This window comes from Homo sapiens, chromosome 3 (genome assembly GCF_000001405.40).
Source record: "Homo sapiens chromosome 3, GRCh38.p14 Primary Assembly".
Taxonomy (NCBI): Eukaryota; Metazoa; Chordata; class Mammalia; order Primates; family Hominidae; genus Homo; species Homo sapiens.
In genome coordinates this window covers 150,268,955-150,282,930 of record NC_000003.12, presented here as the reverse complement: position 1 = coordinate 150,282,930, position 13,976 = coordinate 150,268,955, and the positions used below count along the sequence as shown (strand labels likewise).

At 37.9% G+C, this 13,976-nt stretch overlaps 2 long non-coding RNA genes across 2 annotated transcripts in view; one reads left to right on the top strand and one right to left on the bottom strand.

Moving 5' to 3' along the window:
• The window catches only part of LINC01214 (long intergenic non-protein coding RNA 1214), a 58,341-nt gene that overhangs the window by 40,817 nt on the left and 3,548 nt on the right, over positions 1-13,976 (top strand). The gene's annotated exons all lie outside the window — the stretch shown is intronic.
• On the bottom strand, positions 1,616-7,740 carry LOC105374154 (uncharacterized). The gene is made up of 3 exons (XR_924578.3): positions 6,822-7,740; positions 2,811-2,876; positions 1,616-2,564 (listed from the first exon to the last, which is right to left on the bottom strand). It is a non-coding gene; the product is annotated as an uncharacterized LOC105374154 (long non-coding RNA).

Below are 13,976 nucleotides of genomic sequence, written 5' to 3'. Positions count from 1 at the left end.
TTTCAGTAGTTTCATAGTTTTAGGTCTTATATGTAAGTCTGTAATCCATTTTAATTTGATTTATGTATATTGTGAGAGATAGGGGTCTAGTTTCTGCATCTGGATATTCAGTTTTCCCAGCACTGCTTTTTGGAGAGACTGTCCTTTCCCCAGTGTATGTTCTTGGCACCTTTGTCAAAAATGAGTTCACTGTAGGTGTATAAATTTGTTTCTGGATTCTCTGTTCTGATCCATTGGTCTATGTGTCTGTTTTTGTGCCAGTCAGTACCATGCTGTTTTGGTTTCCATAGCTCTGTAGTATTATTTAAAGTCAGGTACTATGATTGCTCCAGTTTTGTTTGTTTTGCTCAGGATAGCTTTGGCTATTCTGGGTCTTTTGTGGTTGCATATAAATGTTAGGATTATTTTTTTCTATTTCTGTGAAGAATGTCATTGCTATTTTGATAGAGGCTGCATTGAATCTGCAGAATGCTTTGGATATATGGACATTTTAATAATATTGATTCTTGCAATCTATGAACATGAAATATCTTTTCATTTTTTGTGTATTCTCTTCAACTTCTTTTATCAGTGTTTTATAGTTTTCACTGTAGAGATCTTTCACTTCTTTGGTGAAGCTAATTCTCAGTTATTTTTTGTAGTTATTGTAAATGTGGTTACTTTCTTAAATTTTTTTCAGATTGTTTGCTGTTGGCATATAGAAATGCTACTAATTTTTGTATGTCGATTTTTTTATCCTGAAACTTTACCAAACTTATCAGTTTGAATAGTTTTTGTGTGTGTGTGTGGAGTCTTTAGGTTTTTCCAAATATAAGATTATATCATCTGCAAACAAGAATAATTTGACTTCTTCCTTTCCAATTTAGATGCCCTTTATATCTTTCTCGTTTGATTGCTCCATTTAGGACTTCTGGTACTATGCTGAATAACAGTGGTGAAAGTAGGCATCCTTGTCATGTTGCAGATCCTAGAGGAAAAGTTTTCAGTTTTCCTTCATTCAATATGATACTAGCTGTGGGTCTGTCCTATTTGGCTTTTATTGGGTTGAAGTATATTCCTTTATACCAATTTTTTGAAGGTTTTATTAATCATGAAAAGATATTAAATTTTATCAAATGCTTTTTCAGTATCAATTGAAATGATCATGTAATTTTTGTCTTTCATTCTGTTGATATGATGTATCATCTTCATTAATTTGTGTAAGTTGAACCATCCTTGCATCCCTGGGATAAATTCAATTTAGTCATGATGAATGATCTTTTTAATGTGTTGTTGAATTCAGTTTGCTAGTATTTTGTTGAGGATTTTTGCATCAATGTTCATCAGGGATTTGGCCTGTGTTTTTCTTTTCTTTTTTTGATGTGTCTTTGTCTGGTTTGGTATCAGGGTAATACTGGCTCATAGAATGAATTTGGAAGTATTCTGTCTTCTATTATGCAGAGTAGTTTCAGTAGAATTGGTGTTAGTTCTTTTTTAAATGTTTTATAAGGTTATCATTTTGTTTCTGAGCTCTAACAAATAATATAAGCTTGTTTACTTTGTGACAACAAAAATTTGTTTCTCTAGGAATGCATATGCATTCCCAATTTTTATGTCTGTTCCTAGAAAAATAACTGTGTATTCATATATCAGGGCCACTGGACTTTTTTAAAAAAATAGAAAAACAGCCATAACTTTATTTTTAATTTGTGGGGCACTATTAATAAACCTAGTACATTTGTAGCACTACAGTGATGTTGAAGCAGGAAATTTCCCTGACCCCTCTGTGGGCAGGAACTGGAGTGCAGGCACTGGAACTAGTCAGCTGCTTCAGCACCGGCAGGGGCAAGCTCTACTCACTCAAACCCACAGTGCTTAACCCCTTGCTGAAGGGGGCATGCAGGTGAGGAGGTGCACGAGCTGGGGTGGGCGTTTTGGGGTGCCAGCAGAAACAAACTTTGTGCCGGTCCTGTGGCAGTGTCTTGAGGGTGCCCATGACCCCTGAAGCCCCAGAAGGAGTGTTATAGTCGGTGCTCTTTTAGCTTTGCCATCCATGGACAGCTTAAGTGTTAACAGCTCAGTAGAGGGTCAGTGTGACAGCCTTTTGCACCCACACCTGAGTTCTTTTCTGGCATCCAGGAAGAATGTTGCATACATGAATTAGAAGGATGGTCAATGTGGGGGATTTTATTGCCGATGAAGGTGGCTCTCAGCAGGAAGGGGAGCTGCAAAGGGGACGGATTAGGAGAAGGTAATCTTTCTCTGGAGTCTGGCTGGGGATGGCCAAACCCCTCTCCAAAGCTGTGCCATCAACCTGTCCCTCTGAAGTCAAGCTGCTTCTCTCCAACGGTAGTTTCTGACATCCAGCTGCATCTCCTCTTCTCCTCTCTCTGCTGGCTGATCCTGGGGTTTTTATGGGCACAGGATGGGGGCAGGGGAGGCCATGGGTGGTTTTGGAAAAGGCAACATTCAAGCGGGAAAACAGGGATGTACATTCTCACTTTGGGCCATAGTTCCAGGCTTGAAGGTGAAGCCCTCGCTGGGGACCTGCCCTCTTCTGCCCAGAATTTTCCTGTCTCCTGTCCCTATCAATGTGAAAATTGGATTTGATTTAAAATGATTAAATATTAGTTAACAGAATCAAAAGTTTTTTGTCGCTAGAAAGACTTAAAAAATAGACCCCCCATTGATCTATTTTTAGGCTATGTGGTGACAGAGTCTGGCACTTAAGGGACATTCAATAAATATTTGTTGACTCATGATTGACAAGTGTCAATTTTGAGGCTAAAATGAAAAGTCCACTTAGAGTATAAGAAGTTTATATAACTTACCTTAACCACTGTAATGATTTTAGCTGAAGTTTTCATTTTTCTTCCTGCATTTGGATTTCCTGACCTCTGAAAAGTGGAAGACAATTTTATGTTAACAAAAGTATCTCTAGGCCAGGCGTGATGGTTCATGCCTGTAATCCCAGCACTTTGATGCCAAGCCAGGAGGATCACTTGAGCCCAGGAGTTTGAGACCACCCTGGGCAATATAGCAAGACCGTCTCTCTACAAAAAATTTTTTTTTAAATTAGCTGGGTATGGTGGCATATTCTTGTAGTCCCACCTATGCAGGAGGCTAAAGTAGGAGGATCACCTGAGCCTGGAGGTCAAGTCTGCAGTGAGCTGTGATCTTTCCACTGCAGTGCAGCCTGAGTGACAGAACAAGACCCTGTCACAAAAAACAAACAAATAAAAAAAAATCTGTAAAACCTCTAAAATAATGTGATATCTGGGATTAGCTTCAAAACAACGAACAAGATGGGCTACAAGTTCATCACTGTTGAAGTTGAATGATTCATACATGGGGGTGCATTATATTATCCTCTACTTTTATATATATCTAAAACTTTTCAACACGTAAAGTTAAAAAAAGGATTTATAAGATGGAAATGTAGTTCCTGTGTCTTTCCCAAATATTTATTTCTCATTCTGGGTCCCTTACTTAAAAGAAAAATGGGGTTGGGGAAAGCATTTCCAGGCTCCAAAAATTTGATAGTATTGCTTATCTCCCTAATCGTAGGCCTCCTCTTTAGAAGCTTCTGGACAGGAATGAAAGCTTTTGGAAGCTTCCCAAGGCTTATGGTTGAACAGCCTACTTTAGTTTCCATTACCTTCTTTTCTGGGTGGAGAAAAAAGCCCTTTAGGTTCAACAATTTACAGGGATGTGGCAGGGGAGGTGGTTTTCCATTGAGAACGAGATAATGGCAGCATTCCTTGCCTGAGAAAGGAGCTGTAAGGTGCTGTTGCCTCAGGGCACACTCCGGACAACTGAAAGCAGCTGTTGCGGACTGGGCTGGCTTTTAATTAATTATTTTGGTAATTGTGTTGGCAATTTTCCCTTTTCCTTAGTCTTTGAAAAAAAAAAAAAAAAGCAAACACATCTAACTGTTTACGTAACTACTAGAAGAAACACGAGGTTCTTAGCAACTGACCTAGTGTACCTTGACCGAATTGTATCATGTTTTATGGGCATGGACTGCCATATAATTTGTGAGTCTTTTTTGATCACTTGGGTTTTGCTGGTAATATTTCAACAAAGGGGAGGAGACATTCGGGGCTGTCTTTGCTCTTGCCTGGTGAGATGTTCTCACCCTGCTCCAGTATAATTGAGCCAATATGAGTTTTAATCTTTTTCCCCCATTAAGAAATGCTCAAATTTATATATAGAATACTGAAATCCAATATATATTTAAGAAGTTATCTCTAAGCAGTATAAAAGAAACCAAATACATTTGTAACACTACAATGATGTAAAAATTTGTTTTGTTTGACTTAAAATGATTAAATATTGGTTAACAGAGTCAATACTTTTTTATTGCTAGAAAGACAAAAAAACAAACCCTGGAGATTATTCTATCTGAAAGTTCTTATTTATACAGTAGAAGTTACTGATGCCCAGAAAAGCAGTGTGACTTGTCCATTATCACAGGTCCCTTTGAGAAAACTCAAGTTGCTTTTGCTCTCTCTGTAAAGCAGTTTTACAGGGCCTGACAAGAAAATTCACTCAGCACAGCCACAGTTCAAAAGTTAGTGAGCCATAGGAGCTATGGCAGAGTAGGAAAATGAATTTGCTGTCATCTGCTGTTTTATTTTATGCAAGACACATACCATGGAACCTCCAGCTTTAGGGTTCTCAGGGAGACAATGTAATGTAATGTTTCTGTTACAGAAAAAAATAGAGAAAACTCAGCCATAAAAGATCCAGTTCAAAAATTCAGTTAACGTGCATTTGGGAAATCAAAATATCCTTCTCATATTCAAAGAAAATAATTGCTGTTAAAGTCAATTTGGGGGAAGTCTGCTTTTAATAATACTTTCTTTAGAGAATAGTCACTCAAAAAATTGAGAAAACAGATTCAGCTTCAAGTCAAATATTCTCTATGCACTCTACTGATAAGACAGAAATTGGGGGCAGGGGGAGTCTTTTAGAAAAGAATCAGTAAATGGAAAATATATTACCAAGTGAAATGCATCTAACGTTTTATTTCTCCTGAAAGAATATTTATAAGAATTAACTTTACTCTGTGTATGAAGTGTATATTATTTATAGCTATTTAAAGCTACTAAAAGAAAATTGAAAAAGGCAATTTAAAAATGTTTACATTCTCTTAACCTTTTTCATTTTGACTTATTCCAACCACTGCCACCATACATAGAAACTTTCCCTTTCTAAAGGAGACAGAGACCACTTTGTAGAACAAAAGTGGCTTTGAACACTTATCTTGTGGTCTTGGGAGAGTGGAGAAAAGAGGGGGGAAGGGGAGGAAAGTAAGGAGGGTAGAAGAAAGGACTCCTTTCTAACAAACCTTTTAAGAGCAATATTCTTAGAAATATTTAACTCCTATAAACTTTGCCTCACATATTTGCCAAGTGCTAAAATAAAACAAAACAAAACAAAAAAAACAGTAAAGGAGACAGTAATAATAGTGGGCTATAAAGGTGGAAGGAAGACAACAAAGATAACTCCAGGAAAGGAACAATGCCTGTGCACTGACCCTGGGGAAGGAAGCAGGGGCATATATGTCTGGACCCTTGAGTTGCGAAGCACTTGACCTTCAGTTCCTCTGTGGATGATGTAAAATAAAGAGCATCCCCCACTTATTTTAATTCCAGTTAACCTAAGTGCATGAAACTTGAGAACTGGGTCATCTGTTCCCCTTAGTGCTAATGAGAAATTTTGAACTGAGTAATTTCACATGTATGAGCTGGATTATCTATCAAAATGATTTCCTGAAAAAATTGGATAGTGATATACTGTGAATATTATTTATACATAATACTATTGACATACCGCAGATATTATTTTAAAGGGTCTCAGAACTTTTCTTTGCTCATGATCTACTGTAAGAAATACATTTGATATCACAACACACATATGCAAACATGTAAATCTAAATTACTGAAATGGAAGTTTCATTTAAAAAATACTTTTCCGGCTGGGTGAGGTGGCTGATGCCCGCAATCCCAGCACTTTGGGAGGCCAAGGTGGGCAGATCACCTGTCGGGAGTTCAAAACCAGCCTGACCAACATGGAGAAACGCAATCTCTACTAAAAATACAAAAATTAGCCGGGCGAGGTGGCATATGCCTGTAATCCCAGCTACTTGGGAGGCTGAGGCAGGAGAATCCCTTGAACCCAGGAGGCGGAGGTTGCAGTGAGCTGAGATCGCGCCATTGCACTCCAGCCTGGGCAACAAGAATGAAACTCCATCTCAAAAAAAAAAAAAAAAAACCCAACAAAAAAATACTTCTTCTTAGTAGGCATGATGCATTCTGATATTTTTCCATTTCACTGTATTATTATTTTTTTAAATTCTGGGTTCTAATCCATTAAATTGATTTTACCGCCTACAAAAGAATTGAGACTCAGAGTATGAGTCAAAATCACAAACATAAACAAATCAGGGTGCTGATTGTACTCGAGAATAATATGAAATTCAAGTATATTTTATTTGAAACAAACAAGTCTGGTAGAATCCAGAAGTTATCAAATTTATGTTTTATTTGTCATAATGTAAAACTTCAAATTTTTCAGAATCAGATATTTTTGCAATTAGCATGTGGCTTATGCTGGTAAAAGACGATTTGGCAGCATAGCTCTTTTAAATACTAGACATTTTGCAATGAGAAGAATAGTGATTTCTCAGTTCTGGGGGCTCTAGTATAACGTTGGAGCCTTAGATAAGAAAGAAAATCTTCTAAATAGAGAACTGCAAGAAGGAACTGACAACAATCTGGAGATAGAAAAATGTTCTTAAAAATTGCAAAATACTTACTAACACATTGCACACTTACCATTGAATTTAGCTTTCCACAGGATGATGAATGCTTCCAAGAATTTCACAGTTAAAGTATCTTAAAGTTTTGCATTCCAACGCCCTGCTCAATAAATGCAGGATTCCCTTCTGTGTTATTCCTTCAATCATTAAAAATATAATTATTAAACATCCACAATATGTCCAGAGATGCAGAAAGCAACAAAATGTAAAAAGCTGTCCTCAGGGCGCCTACAATTAGAAGAGATAAAAGATGAGCAAAAATATCCTAAAATGGATGCTTATCCCCAATAAGCAGTGAGCTCCCCTGTTTCTTTTCTCCTGCCACAGTAACTCAGTTCCTTTGATTACTGGCTACTTCTTTATTAGAGAGCTCTGGTTGTTAGAAAGTTTTTTACGTTGAATTGTTCCTTCAGTGACATCAGTCCAAATTCTATTTCTGTCCTTGGTGGCCATACAGTTAAAAAAGAAACAGATTCAGAGTAAACCCCGCTTTACCAGATTGACATCAAGAGGGGAGACACATTCCTAAGACCCCATGAAAATCTGAGCGGGACACACCCACTGGCATCCCAGTTTGAGAAATGGTAACTCCTGGACTGAATCCTAAAACAGAATCAGAACCACAGGCTATTTTAGTTGACAGAGACCCCTCAAAGATATTTAGCTAACTTCTATAATTCTTTAAATAGAAAAATGAGTTTGCAACCTAATCCACTGAAATATTTTCTAGGAGACGTGATTCTGATTTTATCAAGGTCATCAGTGGGAAAATAGGATTCACTTTTCAGAAGTTTAATGAAGTCAACTTTGCTGCAACAGATTTTTTTTTTTTTTACCCCTGAGGCTGATATATGATATGGTTTAGCCCCTAAAGTAACCTTAAACATAAGGCTCTGGGCTTTTTGATGAAGAATTTGTGTACATAATATCCCCAAGTGAGCTGAAGTTAAGAAGAACTAGTATGAACAACTAATAAATTGTAGTACAGGCTACAATTTATGTAGTACATAGCTTTTTCAAGCTATGGATTATTATTGTTATTATACTATATTCACAGTTTACAATGCATATTCACAAACCTGCTCTTTTTAAGCCTTGCAATAATCTTCGAAGTAGGTTTTTTAAACCTTTCTTTCACAAAAGTGACCTAAGAAAGAATTGCTCTTATACTCATAGCAAATGAGAACTGGAATAGCGTAAAGATTTTCTAGTTTAACTCCTTGATTTCATAGAACCCGAGGCATGTAAGGGTTAAGCAACATGGTAGATTTAGGACTAGAACTCAGGAATAAGACTCTCAGGAGATCTCTTTGCCTGAGGTTCTATACCTATTTGCCAGAATCCTGTGGGGGTAATCTGTAAGTCTCATCAGATTTCTCTAAACATTTATAAATTGGACCATGTTATACCTCGTGTTACACAAATTTGTTTCCTCACTGGGCTATAACTTGGACATCTTTCTATGTTGATACCTATGTTGTGATCTCATTGTTATTTTTGAAGGGTGAAATAATTGGTACTCAGTAAGTATGCTCCAATGCAGTGATACCTATTATTTGTGCCAGTGTCAGTCTTGACTTGTCTGTGCCTGTGCCGTATTAGTTATTAAATATTTTGAAGAATGATTCCTAGTCCTTTCTCTGTATTCCAAAATAGAGCAGCTGTATCTCTCAATTCTTGAATGTAGCCCACAAGATTTCTCAACAAACCTAGAGCTCAACAAAGGCTAGAACTATGTGATAAGCGTGCAGATCTTCACAATGCAAGGCAGACAATCTGGTGTTCTGAGAGCAAGACTGAGGTCTTTCTGTAGATGCCCAGGCCATATGTGGAAGCTGACACTTGGCAACAACAGGTAACTTTTGTTATTTTATTTTCCACAAGAATTCTGACTGTTAGAGAACCTTCCATGAGTATTCTAATCATTTCTGCTCTTTTGGGCAAATTTAAAGACATTGTAATCCTTAATGATAGTCTCTGAGAGGTAAGAAAGCAGGATTTCTTCCTCCGTACCATCTTGAGTCACAATTGCACATGCGCAAACAGTTGAGCTGAATATCCTTTGATGGAGTCACCAAAATGGCTGAAAAGGGCAATGATTTGATTGATGGCAAAATCAGATGTTTGCCATTTGGTGGTAGAATTGGATAAGGAAATATTTTGGAATCTCCTCTCAATTTTCTCATCAAGTATAGTTTTGACAGAATGCGGAATGTAAAGTGGTTTGGTGTTTTTTTACTCCTAACTTCAAGATAGAAAACTTTCACCACCCTTGTGAATTCCTAATGAATTCAGTATTATTCAGTTTCATGTGTTGCCAACATTTATGCCTTGCAGAAAAATAAGCAACTCCATAGCGTTTTAAATTAGATATTTGTGATTTTGACTCATGTGTCTGTCAAAATGACAGTTACAGTGTCACTTTGGACTGTTGGGATTTGCAGCATATTGGAAAATAGAACCTCTTCCTTTGCAGTAAATGTGAAACCATAATTGATGTGAGTTCCTTTTTTTTTTCTCCTGTCATCATCAACTAACCTCCAAAATAATAATAATAATGTAATCATGAGGCGTACTGTGGGAAAGTGTCTGGTCTGGCTGGTTGAGCAATGAATGAAGCTGATAGTGGTGATGGGTGGTGTAGCTGTTTTTTCCAGGGTGTCAAGCTTTTTAGATCTCTGACAAATGGAATTACTCTTTATTTTTCATTTACACATTGGCTCACAGCATAATACCTGGTGCCATTTAATGGAACCTATTACCCAATCTAAACAAATTTACTTTAATAATCCACTTATTTCTGTAATCATGATGTATTCATCTGATGGGCTAGAAGAAATAGAGGAAGAAACAAATACATTTTGAAAGCCTAAAAGCTCCTATTATCATACTCAATAGGGCCTAAAAGCCCTATTTTTGTTTTATCAAGGCAAACTTTAAGTTAAAATAAAACTTATACTCATCCTAAAACAGAAAACATTCTGCTCATGGTAAGACACAGAGCAGTGTAAATTACACACACGCATGATGACATCAGAAGTAGCTAACAGACGTGCTCCGACCGGAATTAATGCAGGATCAACTCTCAATGTGTTCTCATTCAAACTTCAGCATACTGCACCAGTCAATATGATTTGATTTAGGTTTTCTTATTTTAGGTACTTTTATGAAAATGACAGATATTGCTTTTATCCCCTTCCTCTCCTGTCCCTCACCCAACATGCACACAATTGAATTATGTAATTGTGTATTATTGTCAAATGACAGAGAGTCTGTTTCTGGAGGTTCTGTTATACTACCCTCAATTTTCTCCTGTACCAACAAGCCTATTGACAACATCTACATATTTGCTGTTAGATATTCCTTCTTTGATCTAAGGAACTGAATCCTGTTTAAATGAAAGCAAACACCCCTAAGAGGGGTAATGTTTAAAGATTGTATCAGTCATTAACACCATAGCATAAATTGTTGAATTCAGGTAATTAGCATTTATTACAGGGCTTTTGAGGGCCTGTGTCAGGTCCAGTGACAGTAAAGACATACCCTTGAGGAGCTTTTGACTTTTGTCATTGTTTCATTTGGTAATGTTGGACAAGTTGATTCACTTTTGGGCTCAAGTTTGTCATCTGTGAATTGAAGGGACTGGATTACAGTAATGGCTTTTTAAATATCTGGGGATTTCCAGGCTCTCCCTCTGGAAAGAAAAGGAGCTGTAACCAGTAGCTCTTGGTTCACTTATTTATACCTTACGCCTTTTTGAAACTTTTTTTTTGAAGAAAGGGATTTTCAGCTAAAATATTAAAAATTAACAGTTCTGGAAATAACCCTACTGGATGATTTTCAAGATTTTTTTAAAAATCGTTGCCTCCAGTGGCACTCAACATTCTGTAATTTGACCCTATTTTCTTTATTCACAATAGGATAACCTCCTAAGAGGACATTTTCACAGAGAAGAGAGAAGTCCAGTAGGGTACTCTCTGGGGGTTTCTTGGCATTGGTCAGACAAAGACCTCAAGTGTTTAGTGCTGTGTGTGCCAGTGTGGATGTGCAGGAGGTTGCACCCAAGCTCAGCTTGACAATTTCTCAGTTTACCAAAGGCTAGGCCTGGGGCTCACCAGAGCCCGGGCCACCAACTTTGGGAGAAAAAATTTGCCTCTGAGGAACTTAATTTCCACCAATTCTTCCACTTCAGAAATGTCATTTCTCTCTAAGAAGTGCATTTCCTGCTACTTTTCAGAAAGAAGTTTGGGGCTTCAATAATTCTACTGGCTACATTTCAGCAGGCAAAATGTAGCTTAAAAATATACATAGGAAAAAGGAACTTTCTACACAATAATCTCATCTGATATGGAGAAACTTTAAATACAAACCATATTATGCCTTTGGCTCTTTTCCTCCAGCCCCAACTTGGAATCTTTTCTGGAATTGTTCCAAAAAAACTCTCTTAACAGTGTCAAAAGAAAAGTTAGGACACTCTTTCAATAGTCCTTTAAATATTAGAAAGTGCAAAAATCACTAACTGATTTGAACTGACCAAAACAGAGAAGGGCTTGTTTGGCATGATTTTTATGATGCTCAGATAAAATCTCTTCTTGGACTGAGAGTACAAATGGAAAAGATTGAAAGCTATCTGGAATCCTTTTTATTGGGGGCCATAGGGTTTGAAGGTTGAGAAAAGCCCCACACTTCCTTAACTTCCCGCCATTAAACTCTGAACTTTAGGACCGAAATAAAAATCCACTGGGCAAATTTACAAGGGCCTCAGAGTGGTTATCCTAGTGGGGGAAAACACAAGGGGAGGGAGTTGGACTTGGGAATCCCAGCATTTTCTTGTTGGTCCTGACTGTAATAGCATGTATGGTTGGGGGTCTGAGATACAATCTCTACATTCCAGAGAAAAGAAGAATATCAGTAAAGTAGGAAGATGTCCCAGAGACTGGAGAGATGTAGGCAAGTAAAGTTAAGTAAACAGTGATAGTTAGCTTGAGGACTAAGGTAGAGGTAAAATGGAATTGTCCATGCCCAACCCTCACTGATCTTTGAAACTGCTCAGCCTGTTGAGTGACTTCTGGTCAAGAAGAAGCCTGGATTTTCGGAGTGTGGTAGGTGTAGACTTTATTACATGCCATTGTCCCTGAGACAGCTTTTTATTGAAAGAGGAGGAATTTTAAATATATCAAGTGTATTAGTCCATTTTCACGCTGATGATAAAGACATACCTAAGACTGGGTAATTAATATAGGAAAAAAGGATTAATGAACTTACAGTTCCACATGGCTGGGAAGGCCTCACAATCATGGCAGAAGGCAAGGAGAAGCAAGTCACATCTTACCTGGGAGGCAGCAGACAAGAGAGAGCTTGTGCAGGGGAACTCCTCTTTTTAAAACCATCAGATCTCATGAGACTTACTCACTATTACAAGAACAGCATGGGAAAGACCTGCCCCCATGATTCAATTACTTCTCTTCAGGTCCCTCCCACACACGTGGGAATTCAACATGAGATTTGGGTGGGGACACAGCCAAACCATATCATCAAAAGAATACAGATGTCCAGTGAGTTCTAATGATAAATATTTTCCTCCAAGTAGGAGGATCAGAACAAGTGTGAGGTACTTGACTAGAGCCATGGGTTAGGCACGAAGAAAAATTCTTGCTTCAGACACCAGACTACCCAGACGAGGACTGGCCTTTCTCTGATCTTTGTAGTCCTTCTTAGAAAGGCATCATTCATAGTGAAGGTATCTAAGTTGGCTCAGACTTGGTCCTCAGTGAGGCAGTATTTATAAAATAAGTTTATTGCTAGTTAGTAAAGATGTTCAGAGGATGTACTCTGTGTCAAATGTTGTCTGTTTGTTTTTTTGTTGTTGTTGTTAAGTCAAAGGTAGGCATTTGAGTGCCAGTTCTTTCTATCAGTTCTCTTCTTTTTTTTTTTTTTTTTTTGAGGTGGAGTTTTGCTCTTGTTGCCCAGGCTGGAGTGCAATGGCACAATCTCAGCTTGGGGCAACCTCTGTTCAAGTGATTCTTCTGCCTTGGTCTCTCAACTAGCTGGGATTACAGGCATGCACCACCACACCTGGCTAATTTTGTGTCTTTAGTAGAGATGGGGTTTCTCCATGTTGGTCAGGCTGGTCTTGAACTCCCAACCTCAGGTGATCTGCCGACCTTGGCCTCCCAAAGTGTAGGGATTACAGGCATGAGCCACCATGCCAGGCCAGTTTTCTTTCTTTATGGTTTTTCTGCATACGAAGGCATAGAGTGTGATGTTTTCTATATACTTTGAATTTCTAAAAAAAAAAAAAGGGGCTATTTTATTTTTCTAAAGAAAAAAGTCAAAACCACAGTATATTGTGTTTTTAAAATAATACAATATTTTGTGTTAAATTGATTATATTGTGTATTGCACAATACTATTTTATAATTCTGCTAACACCTAGTAATGGATCTACAACCCTGTGTTGAAAGAAGACTGTGTTCTCATGAAGAACCAAAACGATAGAATCTCATAAAATGGGCCTGTGCCTCCAAGTACATTATCAGTGACTTCGGACTTTTGTGGTATCTCTAGCCAATGAAACTACAAAGTGAGATCATTTGGAACTTAGGGGAGGCTAGATAAGAGAGAAAGCAAAACTTCAAAATACAAGACTGGTTTAATCAAGACCAGGGGACCATGAACTGTTTGGGACTCAGAAGAAAAAAAGGAGAACTTGAAAGCGACTGTAATAAATAGGCCCCAATCTGCTGTTCCAAGATTGCCTTCTACTTGATGGGAAAATTGTGTTTCCCCAAAGTAAAGACAATAAATTTGATTAAGGGATCTGCCTGGAAAAGGGAGTGAACTCTGACCTCTGGGAGAGGGTTTTGCCTCACCACATCCTATGTGTACACTGGATGAGTAGTAATATTTATTATTGAACCATGTGATGGAACGACGAACAAAGGTTGTTCCTGGTCATCCTGTGTCCATCACCGCAATTGCTCCTCTTGTGGAATGTGATATATTGCTGGCCACCCTCAGCTGTTTTTGAAGCAGCAACAAATGCTATTTTGTAAATACAGCTTAGAGCCCCTGGACATGTACTAGGACAGCTTATCAAACATATTGCATGTTCACTCTTATGCTTACTTGCAGAAGGATCTCCCAGCACTTCCTTTGCCATGGGGCTGTG